General features: G+C 34.9%; 1 protein-coding gene and 1 long non-coding RNA gene across 8 annotated transcripts in view, besides 1 other annotated feature; one reads left to right on the forward strand and one right to left on the reverse strand.

Moving 5' to 3' along the window:
- CFAP299 (cilia and flagella associated protein 299) overlaps positions 1-23812 on the forward strand; it is a 642486-nt gene that overhangs the window by 158805 nt on the left and 459869 nt on the right. The window lies entirely within an intron of this gene.
- Positions 8803-11481, reverse strand: LOC105377305 (uncharacterized). Its single transcript, XR_938931.3, has 3 exons — positions 11402-11481; positions 10889-10946; positions 8803-8938 (listed from the first exon to the last, which is right to left on the reverse strand). It is a non-coding gene; the product is annotated as an uncharacterized LOC105377305 (long non-coding RNA).
- Positions 15712-16617: an enhancer, noted in NCBI's record as "OCT4-NANOG hESC enhancer chr4:81416935-81417840 (GRCh37/hg19 assembly coordinates)". NCBI's record gives its function as "activates a minimal SCP1, AML or CMV promoter by ChIP-STARR-seq in naive and primed H9 embryonic stem cells {active_cell/tissue: H9 hESC(naive and primed)}" and the evidence as "EXISTENCE:reporter gene assay evidence [ECO:0000049][PMID:30033119]".

Consider the following 23812-nt stretch of genomic DNA (forward strand, 5'->3'; position numbering starts at 1 on the left):
ATGTACCAGTGCATTTTTTTTTAAAAAAGTTGATTTAAAACCTTTTATTGTGTCCTTTCTTCAAAAATGCTCCTTATGGATACTTTCTCATGGGTTACATAGTACTCCAAAGATTTTTACATACAAATGTTAGGTGGAAAATGTGAAGATACTGCTTGTTATTGTTTATGGTGTTAAAAGGTAAACTGAGGCATAATAAAATTTTTTTTAAAGAGTTTATTTGAGCAAATAGTGATTCATGAATCAGGTAACTCCAAACCAGAAGTGGTTTAGGAGCTCTGCAGAGGGTACGCAAAGAGGGGGCTTTTATAGGATGAAAAAGGAAGCAAAGCAAATAAAATATTTGTTTGATTACAGTTATACAGTTGTCTTATTTGGTCTATTCTGTTGGAAAGTCCCTAGTTATATAACTATGTTAGTTGACTACTTCTGATTGGTTGAGTTTAAATTCTGTTTTTCTCTAATTCAAGCATTTACAAGAAATGGTCCAAGTTAAGTTCCACTTAGGTTTGCAATTTAAGCACGGTTAAGCTTATTTTCAAGGCCTAATTAGTTTTGTCTGCTCAGAGATTTTTTAGGCCTAGTCTCCATTTTAATTTACTCATAACAACTGGATAAACTGTTTCAAAAGATTATATACCCAGGATACTACATTTCTATCAGAATAAATTTTCAATGTTAGTATGTGTTGAAAAATTCCTGAAGTTCTGGTACTTGATTTTTTCTGATCATTTGCAATTCAACCCAGTCTACAAACAGTTTGCAATGTAAAAACCTATTTGCCCATAAAATATTTTTAAAATTATTCTGTATTAATTTAGCTCATATATTAGCTAAATAATTAAGTGCTACCCTTAAAGTGTAACTAATATCCAAAAAGGTGTTCATTATTCCTGAAAAACTATCAAAGCTATATATTATTTTATATTCATATAATGTTTTATACCATTTATCGCTGTAAGCCATTTAAGCAGAAATCACATCACATGTGGCAACTGGGCAAGCATAGTCGTAGACACTTCTAAGAAGAGACAATAGTGTGTTGAAAAAAACTTAGTAGAGGCAGCCAACAGACTTTCTATGGATTTTAGGTCTGAGCAGTAAAGGCCAATAGTTCAGACAAGGGTACCAGTACTCTATTGACAATGAGAATGCTATTGTGAAGTGAAGTTCCTAGTTGGTTGTTTCTGGAAATTTTTCATATGCCACAAAAACAAAATAATGTGCTAAAATTATCAACCACTACCAATAAAATCTCCCTAAATGCATAGCAAATAATACAATATTTTAAAATCTATTTATATTAGTGAGCTATTGATTTTTAAAATGAACAGAATTGAAACTCATTGCCAGATGTTGTACTCAGCTTAGCCAAAGGCATATTTTTAAACTCTGTTGAAAGAGTAAATTCATCTATTTTACTGGCTTTTTAAATCACATATGAACTAATTTTGATAATGTGGAATTTTTTTCTTGCGAGAATTTGGATTACTCACTGTAGCCACCAAATGCTGATAAAATTTTAAAACTGGAAGGGAGCTTACAGACCTCGTCTTTATTTCCTTATTTTACAGATTGAGGAAACCCCGCGTGACCCTGAGGGCTAAAATTGACTAGTTTAAAAATTACATACTAATTAGAGGCAGAGCTGGGGCTAAAAGTCAGCTATCCCTACTTCTAATCCTGAAAACAGAACATATATTGGAGCTATTATATGTATTAATTATTACCAGTTAATATATGGTGATAGTAGTGCTACCATATATTTTTTCCCATTTATTTTATCTAAGAATTTTCCATTGTGAGCCTGGTTTAAATTTAGGACCTGGTACATGGCTAATATTCAATATCAAATATTTAATTAAGAGCTTTTATCAAGTGAAGAGAGAATATTTTTGTATTTTTGTATATATAGAAAATATGGAAATGCACATGATTTCAGTGGTTATATGAGAAAGGATTACTATCTAAAACTGGATAGTAATAAAAAAAGTGGAAGAGTCAGAAAATCTTGTAAAGTGGCTCTATAACTGCACAGGTGGCAATTCTATCTGGGAATATAGAATATAAGGAAAGATTTTATTATGCTTGAAATTCTTTTACCAGAAATGTATACTAGATCAATGAGAAAGTGCACATTAAACTCTTTGCATTAAAATCAGTACTGGCTATAACTGCCTTTTCTCTTTTCTCTGACCATGAACAGGTATTAGAGGATGTGAAAAATTCAGAGTGAAATATTGTCACTTTTGTCTATCATTTATTTAATAACATCACCCATAAAGTATTCTTTTTGGAAATATTAAAATACCATTCAACATTATAATTCTCCTAAGAAAGCTCTTAAGTTATCCAAGAAATGAGAATATTTTAGCACATAAACTTGATAAAATATCTTGGCATGCAGGCTATAATAACTTATGCATTTTAGAAATTGTTCAAGTTACAGCAATAAAAAAACAAAGCAGTAGAGAATAGATGAAGGAAAACAGTCTTCTCTGGGCAGAAATTAGAAGAGGTAGCATTACTATATTGTTTTCAGTGATGGAATAATATTAGCTGGTATTGGAGGACTTACTATACTAAGTCAGGCACTGTGCTCATGCTCTTACCTAATTTACCTTTATACTAACAACAATTCTGCAAAGCATTATTGTCCCCATTTCTTAGATAAATTCAAAAATATGCTCCACCCAGTAGACATTAAATACCGAAGCTAAAATTTGAATCAGGTCTCTTGCTGAACGCTAGGTCTCAGTGAATTATAATGTTACCTCAACGTTTGTCTTTTCAATATATTTAGTAGTGTATATGTAAATTCCAAAGCAGGTGCTTTAAACAGAACTGAGATGTGGTAGACAGAACAATACCTTCCCTTCCCCAAGATGTTCATATCCTAATCCCTGGAACCTGTGATTATGTTACCTTACATAGCAAAACGGAACTAAGGTTGTAGATGGAAATAAGGTTACTAGGCAGCTGGTCTTAAATTAGGGATAGTAGTTTGGATTATACAGGTGCATTCAATGTAATCACAAAGGTTCTTAAAGGTGGAGGAGGGGGGCAGAAAAAGAGGCCAGGGTTGTTTGATGTGAGAAGGATTTGACCTGCCATTGCTGGCTTTGAGGGCTGAAGGGAGCCACATGCCACGGAATGCTGGTGACCTCTAGAAGGTAGGAAAGGCAATTGATTTTCTCACAGAATCTTAACCTGTAGAACTATAAGATAAGAAATTTATGTTGCCTTACACCACTAAGTTGGTGGTAATTTATTATAATAGCAGGAGAAAACTAATAACACCAGATGTAATTTTATCATTCTCTTTCTAATTAAATTTTACATGAATTGTATTGATGATTTCTTATTTTTCATTCTTATCATTGGATTATGATTAAAATATAAATCATCTTGATATCATTCTCAATTTTGTTTTCATTATAACCATTATATCCATAATCTTGTATAATGTGGGTTTAAAGCAAGACTAAAATATAGGTTATAGCCAGAGGAAGTATGAGGTCTATTTTTTTTAATCTGAATGAAAATATTTAAGAAAATTTCAGGACTTGATTGTAACAGCCAGTTCTAAAGGGTATACATCAAATGTTGAAAATATTTTAAAAGTAATGTTCTTACAACTTTTTCCATGCCTTCTCCTTTTTGTTCCAAATGCATACCCTTGAAAATCAGAGACTCAGACCTTTCAATTTTTGTTGTTGTTAATTATTTAAGGAAACTTTGAATCTCTTGTGAAAACATTTTCTTTTACACTTAAATACTTAGAACACTTAAACTTTCGAATTGCTATTTTGTTCAGTGCCAATTGTAACATTTGACTTTTTAGCAGTAGTGTTGAAAGCATTAACTTTTTTAACTGTCTCAGAAGTTTATAGGTACAAGGCATACTTGAATGAATTCTTAATGCAAAAAAGATAGTTTCATTTAAATACCGAAGAAGTATTAATATAGCATAGTGATTTTAAAAATGATAGGTGATTTGCTTTTAGCTTGTGTTTATTTACCTTGTTATTTTCGTTTTTACCCCTAAAGAGCTGGTGAAATAACGAGTGAGGCAATTATACCTATTGGAAATATTTATAGGAAGTTAGTATGGAATGATACTTGATTAACCAATAGTATATTGTGAGTACTTCTAATATTATTTTTCCGGCCTCTGAATTAGCATATAACTTTTAAAAATTATTTTATTTCATGAATAAAGAACTTCTGGAAGTTGTTCAGAACATTTTCTTGATGACATAAAAAAATAAAATATTTTCCCCATATACCTGTATAACCTGGCGGTTAGCAATTTAGAAGTGCCGACTTTACATTCCCTAATTAACTTCTATCAAAGAAAATGAAATGTTTAATGACCTATTGCTATATCTTATCCATCCTTTGCTGAGATTATTCCTTACTTCTTAACAAACTTTGTCTACTGAATATTGTTAACTTCAGTTTCTCTGTGACTGTAATGCCATAATACAATGAATAATTGAATAGATCATATATAAGCATTGATTTCTTTTTACTAAAAACATCTAAATCATATTCAGTAAACTGTTCAGATGTATTGTTGTATTGAAAATATATTTTATAAATGTAAGCTAAGACTAGTACATTTATTAGGCATAAATGAATATTGATGGCAGAAATTGTTTCATTATAGAAAATTTTAAATAATAAGAACTTAGTACAGATGTCGGCATCTACTAACACAGCCACTTTTTAATTTTTTATAGTTGTGATAGAGGAAAATAAATATTTTTCCTGTGTGTCCTATGTGAACTATGTGTTTCAGGGTAGAAATGCCCCAGATGATGAGAGAACATTCCTTATAGAAAAACCTCAGCTGTAAAGTATGGAAGGAATGACAGCATTAGCAAATTGCATTTTGAAATTCTATTGAACAATTGAATAAGTCACTAGCATCAATGAATGTTAAGGCCATTAAGAGAAAGAAACTTTATAATGGAAGGACCAGGCTTTCCTCAGCTAGGCTTAACATCAGTACGTGGAGACAGCTAGGCATTTTTTCTCCTGATATGATGCTTTATGTATTTCACAGCACCACCAATGACGTATTTTTACTAAGAAGTTGAATCTGACCCTAACAGAGCCCTTAGCTCTAACTACAATTTTCATTCTATACATGTATATATACATATATGTATAAATATAATAAAATATATATGAAATTTTATATATATATAAAACAAATTGAACTATAAAAGAAGAAGCAATCAGAAAAATTCAGAATGTGAGGTATTCTCAGGACAACCAATCCAATTTCTCTAAGTCAATGGTTTGCATAAGTGATTGGGTGGTTGGGAAGGGGGTTGTTCTTGACTAAAAGAGAATTCCAGAAACCAAAATACATGTGTGGACTTTGTTATGATCACAACTTTAATACATCAACCATAAAAAGCCATTTCTGAAGATAATTGGGAGAAATTTGAATAACATTTGATATTAAATAATACTAATGGGATCTTACCAATTTTGGTAGGTGTGTTAATTGTAATTATGTAACAAAATGTATTTTTGTCATACTATATAAATGTTTAAAGGAAAAATGGCATTATTTGAAGGATTTGCTTTAAGATAATAGAGAGCTAAAGAGAAAAGGAAAGAAAAAAGGATAGATGAAGCAAATATGTCAATGTTAACTAAAAACATTAAGTCTTTATCTGAATATATTTTAATGCATCAAAATTATGCATTTTCACATACGTAGTAAAGGCCCTTTTAATTTCATTCTTCATAATGCATTTTTTGCTCTCTGCTACAATGCCTTAGCCACTAATAATCTAGATTTAATTTTCATTATGAAGCATTATAGTCCATGTAATTTAAACCTAGTCGCTAAATTCTGTTTTACTTTTTATTATATATTTATTTTTTTAGAGTTGTGGTTTGGCTGCGTTGCTCAGGCTGGACTCAAACTCCTGGCCTCAAGTGATTCTCCCGCCTTAGCCTCCCAAGTAGCTGGGTGTACAGGAACATGCCACCACACCCAGCTGAAATTCTAACCTAGCCACATGAATGACTATTAAGTTCTGCTTGCTTGGTCTTAAATAATATTTGGTTACTTGGTGTCCACAAGTTAGTAGTGGAAATGGAGACAATGTGTGAAGCTGCATTTCTGGAAGGGCACTAAGTGCCTCTCACTACCCTTGTTTTCTAGAGGAAGCCTGCAAATGCCAGTAATTTCTACACCCAGGGCTGCCTGCCTAGGGGTCAAATTGTAGCTGTGTTTTCTGAAACATGCTTCTGAGATGCAGATTCCAAAATGTGGGGGTTCTACTTAGCCCTTGCTCACCAAACCCAGGATACAGAGAAGTTCTTGTTCAGGTTTGGCTGCTAAAGGAAAAAGTTCTAGCCCTAATATTGAGTTTTAGGACTTTCAGGATCTCTAGGTGACTTGTCTTTGGTTGCCAGAAAAATAGCCCAAACATTCTTCTCTTGGGGAAAAAGACATTAATTTGATTGATCTGTGAGGATGCAATGCAATAAGAAAACAAAATGTGCCTTCTCTCACCCCGTTAGGGTTCTTGTGCTTTCTAAAGAGAAATATCCCAGGCCTCAGCACTGTGTATCTCTGTCAGTACACCCTACCTGAAGGTTGACTACATCTTGGCTGCCCCGAGGCATACATATGACCAATGCCTCTGCCTGGGTAGCTCTAAAAGTTTTTTGAGTCTCAGTTTCTATAGCCTCTGTAGGGGGCAGCTTTGATTCACAGATCCGTTAAAAAGCCCACCTGCATTTAGTCTAGTGGCCAGCATTGGCTGGGGCCCTCATTAGTTGTGTTTGGGTTTCTACACAATGTCCCAGGGTAGCCAAGAGATTAAATGTCAGTAATGCACAGTAGTGTGGCTCAAAGTGGGAGAAGACTTTTTGTGCTAGAAGCCAGCCAGCTTCTCTGAGAGTAGTGCTTGAGTTCACAACCTCTTCAACTCCTGGAGACCACTGTGAATTTAGTTAGAATCAAGGCCTATATATTATATTTAAAATACCTTAACAATGAAGTAAATTTGATTCAACTCCTTTAACCTTTCCGGAAACTAGCATAAAATAACTCAACTCCCTTTAACAAGAATTTCTGTGGGAGAATTTTATATATACCATTTCTAATGAGAACTCCCCTTAAGTCTTTGAAATTGCTTTTCTTAATTTACTGGTGAATGTAACATTCAAAATGGTCTTACTCTCCAAGTATGTAGCACTGTATCACTTCTCAGCAGGTATTTTAATTCTTAAAAATAATGTTATCTGTGGGATTTTAATTTACAGAGGCTATCAGTTTTGACTATTAGACAAGACTGAGGAGCAGATCATCGATCTCTTTCTAGTATCTTGTGCCATAGTTTTTGTTAGACTCTCCAAAAGGCAACTTGGGGAGAAAGAGGAAAGGGATGGCTGCCCATTCACCATATTCTCCTTAAGTTACTTCCTTGGAGTCTAGAAGGCAGAGAGGGGTCTGATTTAGCCCTTTTTAGCTAAGCATTTTGGTTATTAACATCAGCAAGGATTATTCAAGAGGTTTAGGGAGATCAAGCTGTGTGTGCACCACAGGGATGAAAAAAGAGGAATAAGTATGGAAGCTGAGTGCATCGAATCTGAATTTCTCTGTTTTGTTCATAATCAATACTCATATGTTTTTCCTGCATTGCAACTATCAAGACTCTAAGTTATTACATACTTAGGCCTAAAATAACTTACATTAACAGAAGGGAGATGGCCAGCAAAGAGCCATAGGTTCATGATTCAATACTTCTCTCACATTGTTCTGCTAATTAGTCATCGATGGGAATATGTGATAGATGGAAAAGTAATGATGGTTCAGTACCCTGTCTGTTTTCTGTATTTCTAATAGAAACTGGTGGTATAGCATATAGCACCTCCAAATTCTTATGCATGCTAGTTTTTAAAACATCATGACCACAAATAGGCTTGATACCAAAAGTTAATAATAATCTTGGACAAAATACTAATATAGATAAAATGTAAAATAATGATTTGGACAAAGTACTGTTGCCTATTGGTATACAAATTAATCTGTGATGAGATCTCTAGGAATGTTAAAGTACATTAAGCTTTCATATGTTTTAAGTAGTAAAATGGACACAAACACTACAGCCCCCCACTGCCGCAGAAGTAATGCAAGAGAATGGGGTGTGGAGGAATCCCCAGAGGTTTTGGAAATACACAAAGATTCCAATTAAGAGTACTGGAATATTGTCTCAGAAATATGAGACTGAACCGTGATTGCAACTGAGAAATTTTAGGCATCATCAACTTAATTTATTCATTAGTGATTATTCAATATTTCATACTATGTGCCAGCCTCTGTGATAGGTAAAGAAGAAAACAACAAACAAAATAGCATGGTAAACACCTTTTTTTTTTTTTTTTTGAGATGGAGTCTCACTCTGTTGCCCAGGCTGGAGTGCAGTGGCATGATCTTGGCTTGCTGCAAGTTTCTCCTCCCAGGTTCATGCCATCCTGCTGCCCCAGCCTCCCTAGTAGCTGGGACTAAAGGCACCAGCCACCACACCTGGCTAATTTGTTTTTGTATTCTTAATAGAGACGGGGTTTCACCGTGTTAGCCAGGATGGTCTCGATCTCCTGACCTTGTGATCCGCCCACCTTGGCCTCCCAAAGTGCTGGGATTACAGGCGTGAGCCACCGCACCCGGCCGGTAACCACTCCTAACTGAGTATGTTATATTTTATGCAAAGGAAGAACTCTGTTCAAAGAATGGTGGTTCAGCATGGAATCTGGAGTTGGATGGCAAAAAAAACGTTTGTGTCTCCCAGCAGTATTCAGAGTGGGTACTATAACACATGCTCTTTCTGGTGGCCTTCCTAGATGCTTCTGTACACAAGATCTTCTGCCTGGATCCTTTGTACTGATTCACCTTTAGTGTTGTCTGAAACAAAAGAAATTACTTCATATTCCTTGTCCTTAAGAGAAATAAGCTTTATTTAGACTTAATAGAACCTTAAAGGAACCAAGGTGGTTGTGTCCTCTCTGAATTTTTTTTTCTACTTTTTTATGTTCTTCCTGGAGATGGGTCTAGCAATGACTAGGTATTTGCTAGTTGGACAATGTGGACCTTAATTTTCCAACAAGATGTCTCTGAAGGTATTTTTACTATTTTTAAAACAATTTCATCTTGTGGTTTTGAATTGGGAGCTGCCATTGAAATGGCTGCAGCTTCTCACGCATTACCTGATCTTGGTAAGCCCTAAAGTTGGCAATTTTCTTTCATTGCCAACCAGGGAAGGAGGTGGTGGTCAATGTATCAGAAATTCCACTTACGGCAGCATGGAAATTCAGAGAGTCTATTACTGAATGAAGTTTCAACTTTGGTTAGGATCACAGAAGACGAGATAATATGGAAAACAACAAATGCAAATTTAGAAAACAAAAATAGCCCTTCCTCTATCTGGGCTACATCAAAGAGTGCCTAGGGAAAGACGTATGATGAGCCAAGTTTATGTATAATGAAGCACTTTAATTCAGACAGCTGACCTCCTCATCTCTCCTGCAAAAATCAGAGTTCATTTCTCTGCCTCTGATACCTACCTAACAGTGATAGGTTAGTGCTTTTGTGTAATAAATTTTGAAATTCAGTTTCTCTGACTGTTGTACCATAGCACTTAAACTTACCAGTCTACTTGACACATGCATATCGTTATGATCTCTCAGACTACTAATTATAATTTTGTTTTTGTTGACCATTAAGATTGTTCATCTATTTCTGTTAGAACCATGGCCATTGAAGTAACTTCCTGATTTTAAATTTGCTTCCTTCATAGAATTTCCTGTTTTGAAGAAACAAGGTGATTTATTAGCTGATGCAAATTTACTAGTTTACTTGACAGTTATAACTCCCGTGTCAAATTAGGTATCTGGCTTACATTAGTCTCTTGGGGGTTGGTTAGCAGAAATTAGTATCTCCTGAGCCTGCGACAGGAGGCTGAGACAACCCGCGTAAGTGACCAGCCAGCTGCTTCAGATATTAATTGTCCTCCTAATTGTAACTTGACTTTATCATGATCCATGTTACCTCTTATATGCTGTAAAACTCTAGTAAGCAAAACTTTCTTTTTAGATACCAATTCTCAAGTGGTTTTTAGACATTCACATAGCTTGGCCTCTCTTCTCCATTTCTAGGTGCTGCTTTAGTGCAGTGACTTTTTCAATTATGTGGAATACTTTGAAAAAAATGTATGTCACCAAAAAATGCAAAATAATCAATTTAGTAATTTCGAGCTATTCTTTAAATAATACCTGCCTATACTTGTCTCTCTTATTGATCCTCTTGACTTCCACAAATTACCGCACACTTTTGACTTGATGTTTTCAACATCCATCCCATAGAATATGAGATCTGTGAGTACAGAAAGCTCCTCTGTCTTGTTCACTGTGAATCTCTCATACCAGAAGAGGTCCCACATTATAATCTGTCAGTGAATAAATGCTGAACCAATAGGGTTTACATCCTATTATTATTCTTGTAGAAATAGTATAACTTACATATTCTTACAGAAATAGTATAACTTACATTCTTAACATTTAACAAGCTTTCATGGATATAATTTTTTTCACTTAAAGTTTAAATCACTTTACAAAACACATATATTTGGCTTTTTAAAAATCCCACAGTTTGAAATTCAATGCATTAAGTAGTGAATAAGTATGAGACTTAAGCTATTATAACAATTCAATAACTCAGTAAAATTTTTCTGCAGAAGGGATTACTGTCTTTTCAAAGACATAATTCACCTATTACTTTTTATTGTATAAATTTTGATTTCTACAGTATTTCTTGGAACAGGATTATGTGTGTGTGTGATTAATCCATCTTACTTACCTCTCCATTTTAGGAAAGACAAAAATTAGTTTCAACAGTGCTCAAGTAGTTTGTCATTCTGCTTGAAAAAAAATGAACATTTTACATTTGCCAAAAGTAAAAATATTCTAACACAAAATGCTTTAATATGTTTAAAATATAGATATCATTCAGCTTGAATCAAAATTATTAAACTGTAATAAAAATAACTGTAATATGCTTTTCAGAAAAGACCCACATTTTATGTAATGATTATTTTACTAAGCAAGACTTTTAAAACATTATAAGGATAGTTTTATCGTTTAAAAATAGAATTAATATAGATTAAACACCAGATTTTCTATAAGTTTTAAATGTTCATAAAATAAAGGTAGTAAATTAAACTTAGAATTCTGAATGCCAGTTGATAAAAACATTTCAGCAATAGTGTTTTTTTCAGGCTTTTAAAAAAATTATTTTCTGGAAAATATGTAAGAGCAACGTATATACATATATATCCAAATACAATTGTCCACATTCATAAATAGGACTTACAGATAATATAGCCGATTTCTTTCTCTATTTAAAGGAATTTTTTGTTGTATTCAGATAAACACAATATTACCCAGCTCTGGTAACTTTGGGAAACTTTCACTTTCTGTTCTCACCAAATGGTTTAGGTTAATGTTGAGGACTAAACTCTGATTTTTTTTTTCTTGCCCAAATTCCTATCTAAGGGGTCTGGGGAGTCATGCCCTATAAATCAGAAATTCTCATCAGATGGGTTTTATTTAACCATATATATCATGATTTACTTTCCAGACTGACTCTGGCCATAACATTATGAGACAAAAAGGAAAATCAAAATATTTTACCCCAAAACATGTTTCTTTGCCATATTTTGAAATGGCCCTGCAAAGCTGTTCTTTCTGAGAGAAAATCTGCTTCTGTAAAGAATCTCTATTAACATAGCTAAATCTTCTTCTTCCAGACCCTTCCAATCCTAAAGAGATTAACTAAGATCTGAATAGGAAACTTTTGTCACCTATTGTCTCTAAGGGCAGCCACTATAAGACTTCAAAAGAACTTTGGTCTCCACAATCTGTATCTTATTTTACCTTAATCTTTATCTTAACCGTTTTTGTCTATCCAGATCTTTAGACAAACTCAACCAATTGTCAACCAGAAAATATTTAAATTCACCTATAGCCTGGAAGCCTCCCGACTTTGAGTTGTTCCACCTTTCTGGGCCAAACCAATGCATTTCTTAAATGTATTTGAGTGATGTCTCATGCCTCTCTAACGTCTATAAAACCAAGCTGTGCCCCGACCACCTTGGGCACGTGTTCTCAGGACGGACTTCCTGAGGGCTATGTCATGGGCCATGGTCACTTATATTTGGCTCAGAATAAATCTCTTCAGATATTTTACAGATTTCGACTCTTTTCATCAACAATGTCTTTGTCAATGCACTGTCAGAATTAATGATAGGAATGTTTGTGAGAGTAAATAAACATATGATGGCTCATCATGATAAGCTAGCAGTTTTGAGGATCCAGGTAAAATAGATGGGACTAACAGGAGTTTAAAAGCAGAGTTTTTATGTAAGAGAAAATATAGGGACTTGGGAAGTGTATGGAGTCAGAGAAATGCAACTTGGTATAGTATGATACATAATTATTTAATAACACTAGAATTTTCAAGACACATTTTCATGCATCTAAAATGTCTGTTTAAAATACAGGTTTTATTATTATTAAGGTATGGTGAGGCCAACAGATCATGAGACATTCACCATTGAAAAGATGACTTGTTGCTTACAGTTCCTAGGAGGAAGGGTTTTCTCCTGGGCAAAGGCCTTTATCATGGTTTCTACAGGAAAGGCAAAGCAAGACTGAGTAAGCAGGCTTAGGATTGGCTAGTTTGAATAATTTCAGCAGGCCCTGGGGTGATGGAGACTGTGGGATGGTGGCCTGGAGTGTGAGAGCTCAGTGAGAGCCCGATAAAGGAGGCTGTTAGGAGGGTTGTGGCCTTTTAGTGGCTTGGTTTGCATATACAAAGTACACAGTCAGGTGAGTTATCTCCTATCTCCAGGAAGTGGTTAGCCCTAGGAGGGGCAGCCTCTGTAGAGTCAACAAGACTCCAGACACTGAAGCATCAGAACAAAAAGACATGCTTGACACAGTCTTTTGCCAATCATTAAGGTGTATAAGGTGTATATAATAGTTATAGTTATCCTCTTTAACTGCACATATTATGCATTCCCATTGTTATAAATAAAGTTTCAGTGCCACAAAAGAAATAGCACTTGAATATAAAACTTTCTTTTAATTATCAGCAAGGCAAGGTACTTCTGTAGAAGGGTGCACACTCACCGATGGTGGGTGCACATTTGGACAAGGGAGAGGAAGGGATTCTTATCCCTGATGCACGTGGCCCCTGCTACTGTGTCATTCCCCTATTGGCTAGGGTTAGATCTCACAGGCTAAACAAATTCCAATTGGCTAATTTAAAGATGATGGGATGAGTGCTTTGGCGGAGTCAGGGCAGAGCAGATAGCAGGTAATTGGAATGAGTTAGGGTGGAGCAGGTGATCAGAATGAGTTAGAGTAGAGCAGGTGATAGGAAAGAGTCAGGGTGGAGTAGGTAATCGAAAAAGGTTGCTTTATGAGGAAGTTAAGTTTAAAAGTAGAAGGCAAAGAATTGATCATACTGACATATTAATTCTTTGAAGAGCATTTAGAATTCATATTCAATACCATAGCTACAGACTACTCAAACGCTAGTGACTTAAATTTATATCTAGCTCTTCTGGGATATCTGTCTCTTTTCTATCTCATATTCTTTTTTTTTTTTTTTTTTTTTTTTTTTGAGACGGAGTCTCGCTCTGTCGCCCAGGCCAGACTGCGGACTGCAGTGGCGCAATCTCGGCTCACTACAAGCTCCGCTTCCCGGGTTCACGCCATTCTCCTGCCTCAGCCTCCCGAGTAGCTGGGACTACAGGCGCCCGCCACCACGCCCGGCTAATTTTTTGTATTTTTAGTAGAGACGGGGTTTCACCTTGTTAGCCAGGATGGTCTCGATCTCCTGACCTCATGATCCACCCGCCTCGGCCTCCCAAAGTGCTGGGATTACAGGCGTGAGCCACCGCGCCTGGCCTCTATCTCATATTCTTGAAGTTAGCAGAGTGAATCCCACCTCCATGCTCTTCTTCCTGTTCTTCCCATCTCAGCATTTCTGAATCAGCTGGTTCCTGTCCAAAAGAGACCCTAGATTCCTTTCTTTGTCACATATCTCACATTTAACATATCAGCAAGTCCTATTGGTTCTACCTTCAAAATGTATCTCAAGCTCTTCCCATTATCCTCACTATCTTCCCACCAGCTCTTCGCACTATCCTAGACCAACTCACTGTCAAAGTATGTTAACTATTCCCATTTTTAGCTCTCCTAGATTATTTCACATAATAGGCAGTATACATTTCTTTAAACAACATATATCTGACAAGTTAACTTCCTTGCTTAAAACCTTTTCTTGGCTTCCTGTTATATGTAAATATCTAAAGTCTTTGCACCAGTTATATTAGACTCTAGATGATCTGACAGTTGCCTAATTTTCCTTCTGTCTCACAGCATTTGGTTCTTGCTCACAACCCTCTGGCCACCCTAGCCTCCTTTCAGTTCTTCATACCCAGAGTGTGTTCCAATTTTAACTATGATTTCTTTTCCCTCTACTTAGATTGTTCTGTGGCACGTTCTATAGGTATGGCTCCTCATCCTCCCCATCTCAGCTTAAATATAATTTTATGTTGAGTAGTAAATGTCAATTATGTTGGGTACATTAATATGTTATCCATTTATTTTATAAATATTGAGTATTTATTCTGATACAAGTTACTTATTTCCAAGATACAATGGGGGTATAAACATTCCCATTTCAAAAGGGAGAAATCAGCCAAAAGAGAGGGCTACAGGCCCCACACAAGTTCAAATTCTAGCAGGTCAGTCATTACATCTTAAATCTCAGAAGTCAAAGTGATTATGGTAATGAAGGGTCTTGAAGAGTCTTAATTCCAGTATCTGAATTTAATTCCAGCACTTTTTCCAACATAGCCTAAGAAAGATATATAACCATTTCACTACATCTGTTTTAAAAGAAATCACAGTTCATATGTTAAGTTTTATTTGATTTTGTTAAGGCATATATAGACAGGCTAAATTTTGTGGATTTGGTGTTTCTCCACAATGCTAAAATATAGTATTAACTTAGGTTTTATAATGAAGTTAGCAAGAAGAAAGAGAAGGAGAAAAACTATTGAATTTGGTTGAAACTCTAATTTCCTTCCTGAAATGTATACTTATATAGCAAAAAAGGTGTGTAGCAAGAACAAATTTTGCCTATATATTTAAAACAACATTTTAGGAAATCATATAAAGAAACATTCAGACATTTAGCAGCCAATTCTTGGTTACTGTAAAATTATTAATGTGGGTAAAAAAAGAATTATATGTACCCATTTTCTCTTCATTTAGAAAAAGGTTTTTTAAATTTTCTACTTAATTTATTTTACAATTCATATCAAATTTTTATTGTGATAAGTTTATCCGCAGGTGTAGTGGCTCACACCTATGATCTCACCATGTTGGGACACTGAGGCAGGAAAACAGCTTGAGGCCAGGCGTTTGAGATCAGCCTGGACAACACAAACCCTATCTCTATAAAAAATTTGTTTTAAAAAATTAGCTAGATGTATTACGCTATTCTCACATTGCTATAAAGAAATACCCAAGACCGGGCAATTTATACAGAGAAGAGGCTTAATTGGCTTATGGTTCTGCTGGCTGTACAGGAAGCATGATACTAGCATCTGCTCAGCTTCTAAGGAGGCCTCAGGAAACGTACAACTTACCATTGCTCATGACCCTCTGGCAACCCAAATAAGCAGTGACCAGAGGTGTACCTCTGCCCTTTTGAGCCAGGGCTGGTGCTGGAACAGCAGCATGAATGGGACAGTGTCCCAAAGATGTGCAGAGCAGTGGGCCCTGGGCCTGACCCAGGAAACCATGCTGTCCTCTTAGGCCTCAAGGCCTATGATGAGGGGGCTGCCTCTTAGATCTCTGAAATGACTTCAAGGCCTTTTTCCCATTGTCTTGCCTATTAGCAGTTGCCTTTTTTTAGTTATGCAAATTTCTCCAGCAAGTGGTGGCTGCATATCCTGCTTGAATTCCTCTCCCTAGAAAGCTGTTTCTTTCTCTACCACATGGCCAGGCTGCAAATTTTTTAAACGTCTACACTCTGCTTCTCTTTTAAATATAAGTTCCAACTTTAACTCATTTCTTTACTCCTGCAGATGAGTAGAGTGTGTTAGAAACACCCACACCACATCTTAAACACTTTGCTGCTTAGAAATTTCTTCTACCAGATACCCTAGGTCATTGTTCTTAGGTTCAAACTTCCACAGATTCCTGGGGCATGAACACGATGCAGCCAGGGTCTTTGCTAAGGCATAACACATGTGACCTTTGCTCCAGTTCCCAATAAGTTCCTCATTTCCATGTGAGATCTCATCAGCCTGGCCTACATTATCTATATCACTATCAGCATTTTGGTCATAACCATTTAAGCAGTCTCTAAAAAGTTCCAAACTTTCCCTGATCTTCCTAGCTTCTGAGCTCTTGGCACTCTTCCAACCTCTGCCTGTTCCACAGTTCCAAAGCTGCTTTCACATTTTCTAATATCTTCGTGGTAATGCCCCATTTCTTGGAACCAATTTTCTGCATTAGGCCATTCTCACATTCCTATAAAGAAATACCAGAGACTGGGTAATTCATAAAGAAAAGAGGTTTAATTGGCATACCATTCCACAGGCTATACAGGAAGCATAATGCTGGCATCTGCTTGGCTTCTGGGGAGGCCTCAGGAAACTTAGAATCATGGCAAAAGACAGAGGGGGAGTAGGCATATCACATGGTGAATGTACGTGCAAGAGAGATGGAGGTAGGTGCCACAGTTTTAAATGATCATGTCTCATGAAACTTACTATCACAAAACCTACTATCACAAAGACAGCACCAAAGGCTATGGTGCTAAACCATACATGAGGTATCTGCTCCCATAATCCAGTCACCTCCCACCAGGCCCCACCTTCAACATTGGCTATTATATTTCAACATGAGATTTGGGTAGGGACACACATGCAAACTATATAAACAGGCATGGTGGCACACACCTGTAATCCTAACTACTGGGGTGGCAGAGGCTGGAGGATTGCTTTAGCTCAGGAGTTCAAGGCTGCAGTGAGCTATGATCGCACCACTGCACTGCAGCCTGAGAGACAGACTAAGACATTATCTCTAAAAACAAACAAATAAATAAGGAGTTTCTCAAAGTAATAGTGTAATTTTTGGTAACTAGCAAATGACTTTTGTTATTTCCTTGATGTAGATTTCCTTGCTTGGTGTTGATAAATGAAACACTGCCAATAAAATTAAAATATGCTAATTTTAAAGTAGGTTACAAAATAAAGTAAGTTCTCACTATTCTAAAGGTAACTTTTTATTAAAAAACTTTTTATGAAAGTGATATATGTATGCATATATATACACACACACATATTATAGAAAAATGAGCAGGCATAGTAAAGATTGCCTGTGATTTTGTTACCATTTGGGTATTTTCATATCTTTTTTTACCCTACATTTTTTGCCCCTTATATATGAATTTATATTTTATATACTATTTAAAACTCAGATCATACCATACATTCCACTTTGAAACTTATTTTTTAGCCTTACTGCATATTATGAACAACATTCAAAGTAATTGAATATTAGAAAAAACTATACTAAAAGTCACATGGAACTGAAAAAGACACTGAATAGCATAAGCAATCCTAAGCAAAAAGAAGAAAGCCAGAAGCATCATACTACCCAACTTCGAAGTATATTACAAGGCTGCAGTAACCAAAACAGTATGGTACTGGTAGGAAAACAGACACATAGACCAATGGAGCAGGTTAGAGATCCCAGATACAAAGCCATACACCTATAACCATCTGATCTTTGATAAAGTTGACAAAAACAAGCAGTGAGGAAAAGATTCCCATTCAGTAAACGGTGCTAGCTATATGCAGAAGACTAAAACTGGACCCCTTCCCTTCACCATATACAAAAATCAACTCAGGATGGATTAATGACTTAAATGTGAAATCTAAAACTATAAAAAAACACTGGAAAGAAACAGAGGAATTACCATTCTGGACATTAGACTTGGCAAATAAATTATGACTAAGTCCCTAAAAGCAATGGTAACAAAAATGAAAATTGGCAAATGGAACCTAATTAAACTAAAGAGCTTCTGCATAGCAAATGAAACTGTCAGCAGAGTAAACAGACAACCTGCAGGAGGTAAGAAAATATCTGTAAACTAGCATTCAACAGAGGTCTAATATCCAGAATCTATAAGGAACTTAAACAAATTAACAAGCAAAAAAGAATAGTATTAAAAATTGGGCAAAGGACATAAACAGACACCTCTCAAAACAAGACATACACGTGGCCTAACAAGCATATGAAAAAATGCTCAACATTAATCATTACAGAAATACAAATAAAAATCATAATGAGATACCATCTCATACCAGTCAGAATGGCTATTATTAAAAAGTAAAAAAAAAAATCAGATGATGGTGAGGTTGTGGAGAACAGGGAACATTTACATACCACTAGTGGTAATATGAATTAGTTCAGCCACTGTGGAAAGCAGTTTGGAGATTCCTTGGAAAACTTAAAATAGAACTACCATTTGACTCAGCAATCGGATTACAGGGGATATACCCAAAGGAATAGAAATAATTCTACTATTAAAGACAAAGGCACATATGTGTTCATCACAGCACTGTTTACAATAACATATACATGGAATCAATCTAAATCATCATCAATAGTGGACAGAATAAGGCAAATGTGGTACCTATACAACATGGAATATTATACAGCCATAAACAAGAGTGAGATCATGTTCTTTGCAGCAACATGTATGGAGCTGGAGGCCATTATCCTAAGCAAACTAATGCAGGAACAGAAAACAAAACACTGCATGTTCTCACTTATAAGTGGGAACTAAACCCTGAGTACACATGGACACAAAGAACAGAACAATAGATTCCAGGGCCTACTTGAGGGTGGGAAGAGGGTGGGAACAGAAAACTTACCTATTGGGTACCATGCTTATTACCTGGGTGGTGAAATAATCTGAATATCAAACCCCTACAACATGAGATTTACCCATATAACACATCTGTGCATTTTCCCTCTGAATCCAAAATCAAAGCTGGAAAAAAGAAAAAATAAATATTTGTTTGAGGGAAAAATGTCATTCAATCTTTTTCTCGAACATAATTCTTAATGGTGCTATAATAATTTGGATGCATCGTGTTTAGTTGTAGTTTTTTATTGGGTACTTTATTCTAATACAGTATAATATGCTTCAAAATGACTTTACTTTTTATAACACTGACAGATATTTTTTCCATGTAATGATTTAGCTTTAAATATAATGTTTCTAATATTTCAACATTACTGTACATATTACTAACATTTGCCTTGCTTATCTTTTTCATTCCTTTATTTTTTCCCTTTTTGTATTTTGATTTAGGCATGTCTCTTTTTAACAGGATCTACTTAGATTTTTTCCTACTCACCTAAGTGGAAAATCTCTGATAGTTAAGAGGAAAAATTTAATTCATTTTCAGTATTTTTTGTTTCTATTAATTTTAGATGGGTGGGTGCGTGCACATGGAGATTTAGGTACATGAGCTACTTCTGCCATTTTAGTTCAATTTCCTCTTGATATTTTTTTTCCTAGGATAAGCACTGAGCATTAAAAACAACATTTCTTTGATTGAAATACTCTAAAGTACGGTAGCAAAATATATCTTATATGTCCTCACTAAACCTTGCCATTCACATCTCATATTTTATTTATATGAATTAGCCGTTAATAGCTAGTCTAGCTCTAAGGAATTTAGAAACCTACTTATTTTATTAACTTCATTTTTTTTTTGTTTGTTTGTTTGAATGACGGACTTTAGCATTTTTGTTTTGAAATAAGTTCAAATTTTATTTTTTGGTGGAGGGACACTTAGCTAAAATTCTATTTAGTCTACAACCCACCACAGTCTGGATTGAACTCCCATCTCAAGTGAAATTGCCCTGACTGGCATGAAAAGTGACTTCTAGTTAATCAATCCATTGATTATTTTATCCTGCTATTCTACCTAGTCTCTCTGATGCACTTGGCAACTGTAAGAAGAAATTCTCAGAAGATGGTGGAATACCATCAGAGAAAGGCATTCTCCTGGGCCTTCTTCCTTGGTGGCATCTGCCATTCCATGGAAAGCAGCTTCATTCAGTGTTCAGTCTTTGGCTCTGTTCTCTTCTGACTTACTAATTTCTCCTTGGGATAGCTCATTTAAAAGTTGTTTCCCAATTTTTCACATACAAGAACTTGATGCATTTTATTAAAGTCAAATCCTTAAGTTTAAATCTGTGTAGGTTGTACTCTGTTAATAAAATTAGGCTATACCAAACTATCAAATTTTAAATTGCAATAATTCTACTGGTTCAAAATAATCTTTTCATTTGTTGGAATAACCTACTATTTTGTTGAAACTGCTGTCAAAGCAATAGTAAACTTATTCTAAAATGGTTTAATATTTGTGGTATTTGGCAGTATATTCAGTAAGTCTTTAATTGTATCTGATAGAAGTACAAGTTCCATCTGTCTCACACGTGCATCCTACTCAAAGCATGGCACCAGAGCAAGTCTGTTTCCGATGCTCATAAATAAGATACCAACAAACCCACAATATTGGTACAGACTGTTCTGGGCTAGGTTCTAAAATGTTAACCACAGGAAGTGATTTTACTTCTTTTTATAAAACCCCTTTTCCCTTCATCAGCTGCCTACGTGCTCAGTGTGGCACTTTAGATTTCCTGGATCTTGAAAGTGTTAAAAATTACTGGAATAACCTGCTGGAAGGTGATCTTATTTACTTAAACAAAACGTGGATAAGTAACTGCTAAAATCATAGCTATCTAAGTCTGTCTAAAATTGTTCTGATTGTTTAATTGAAAGTGGGGGTTTTAATAAGGCCTACTAAAGTTTAAAATGTGTGGTCATAGATAATACAGATCAAGGCATTAATGATCAGCATTTCTAGTAGTTTACAAGGTAACTTGAGTACTCATAACTCTAGCTTACCTTATCCTTGCTTTTGGTCCTTTGTCTTTATAATATGAGATTACTTACTGAGTTTGAAATTATTTTAAATGATTGGAAACAAAAATATCAAAAATGGAATTGGTATACTATGCTTAATGGTAGACTTAATTTTTTTCAGTAGTTGTTTACTTCTGTAATTAAAGTATATTGTCTATTAGCTGAAATTTATATAAATACATGTAATTCTATATAAACATATAAATATGTAATTTCATATAACTATATAATTATATAAATTATAAATATTCATATTTATAATGAAAAGATTTATAATTATACATTTTTATTTATAATGTTTATATAAATATATGTACATATAAATATATAAATTTTCATATGTAAATATGTTAAGTATAAATATATAATTTATATAGAAATATCTATAAATTGCAATGAATTTATTAAAATTAGTTAAAAATTAGAAGATATTTTTTCATGTAATTTTGGATAAGCTTCTAAGAATTTGCTCAACAGTTTGAATTTGTCTCAACATTTGTAAACACAGAAAAAAGTTTCTACAGTATTCAAAGATGTCACCATTTTTGATAGAAAATTTGTCACCTTTACTTTTTCTTGTAAACATTATAATAGGGAAAACAAAGCATACAAAGTATAGTACTTTTGAAAAGTCTCTTTTCTTTTATTCTTCAGGATGTATTTTAATTAGTCTGATCATTTTGCTAAGGCTCTATTTATGTTTCTTGTTTCTGCTCAATTCTACCCAACTGCCCAATATTTTAGCTTATGGTAAATAATTTGAAATTCTTTCTTGTTTTGGGTTGTCTATTATTAATTATTCTTAGTTACGGATGATTACTTTTATAAAATGTTGTAATGTAATTCCCTTCCTACTATTTTTATATTATGAAATGCTTAGTGCTGGATAAATGAGTCATATTTGTGCAGTGTTGGCAAACCACAATTATATTCAAGACCACTGTGGATCAGAATCTAATTTTATCAGAATTTAAAAATTGTTTTGAGATTTTGCAGGTATCAGTTTAGCAGATGATTTCTTAAATAAAGGGGAAAATCAAGTATTATGCTTTGTCCTTTGATGATATGAGATAAAAATCACCAATGGCAATGATTTTTATCTTGTATTGAAAATCAAAGCTGTAGGCAGGGCCACCTTGCCCATCAGTTTACATTAATGCCATGAAGAGCAAGTCAATTTTAAAGTTATTGACTTGAGTTTTGCACCACATACCAACTTATTTAGTGAGTTCAAGTTGCAGATTTCCTTTACTCAGGTGGTTCTTTTCTCTTTTCTAGATAGAAACAGGCAAATAAGAAATGGTAAGTAAGAGTTATTCTGGAAAAAAACAAATCTATTGCTGTTTTTTTCTTCCTCTTATCTGATTTCTGTATAGCATTTGTCACTTAAGACCAATATCTCCTTGATATTATCACAGCTCCTGCCTACCATGTGAACACCTCTTTCTTGGTTTTCTGTCTGCTTCCGTGGATTCTTTTTTTGGCTATTTCCCCTGGATCTGCTTCTGCCTAAACTCACTGTGATGGTATTCTACTGGTATTTCTCGTCCACTTCTTTGTCTTTCACTTGACAAGTTATTCTTGGTTTATCTCATTTATTACTATGGCTTCAACTATTGATAACTTCCCATTTTATGTGAAATCAAACTCTTTCTTATCTCAGGACTCTGGTTTACCCATGAACATAATTGCAAGCTGTGATAGCTGTTAGAATAAAACTCCAGGAGAACTATGAAAATAAGAAACTAAAAGGATGAGTCTGAGTAAGTTGGTGAGACATGGTTAGATAAGACTTCCCTAAGGAGCTGATACTTGAGGTGGAAATTGAAGGCAGTGGTGGAAATAATGTTATCGAGAGGCAGAAGAGCAAGCAAGGTTCCTGCAGTCTGCCTAAACTGAACTTGTCAAACATCATTCTAATAAAACCAATACTTGATTAAAATCTTTCAGTGCTATCTCATCATCTAAAAATAAACTTAAAACACTTTCACCTAGGATTCAAAGTCTTTCACCTGGCCTTAATTTAATTTTTATCTGATTTTTAGCACTCCCTCTGATCTGGTGTTTGGCACCTATTTTGGTACATATATTATAAGTGCATATTCAAGACTCTGATTTGTTGTCTTCTATTCTCTTTGCCTGGATTGTCTTCCTCCTCTATTTTTTTACTGGTGAGCATCTCTTACCCAATATCCAAAGCCCAATAAAATATTGTTTTTCTTTTGCAAGTTTCCCACATACTGAATTTTCATAGAACTTTTTATGAGGCTGTATAATGTTCTTATTCTCAGGAGAGGCAGTGTTGTATTGATGCTAAGAATAATGGCTGCGGGCACAGATCAACTGGAATCAGAATCCTGATTCCTCCATATATAACCTGTGTGATCCTGTACAAGTTAATGCTAGTACCTCCATCATAGGGTTGTTGTAAGGGTCAAAAGGCCTAGAACGGTGGCTAATATATATTAAGCAGTCAGTTGTATTAACAGTTGTTGCAGTCACATTTTAAATTATATATCTTCCACCATTTTCAGGCTATCAGCCCCTTGAGAGCAGAGGTTACCTTACTCACCTTTGTGCTTGCCACCAAGTAAATGAAATAATTTATATTTGTAAGATTGAGTTAAAAGGGATGCCAAAACATTAATGTTCAGTCTTTAGTTAGTTGATGGGGTGGCATTTCCT

The sequence above is a fragment of the Homo sapiens genome, chromosome 4 (assembly GCF_000001405.40).
Source record: "Homo sapiens chromosome 4, GRCh38.p14 Primary Assembly".
Classification (NCBI taxonomy): Eukaryota; Metazoa; Chordata; class Mammalia; order Primates; family Hominidae; genus Homo; species Homo sapiens.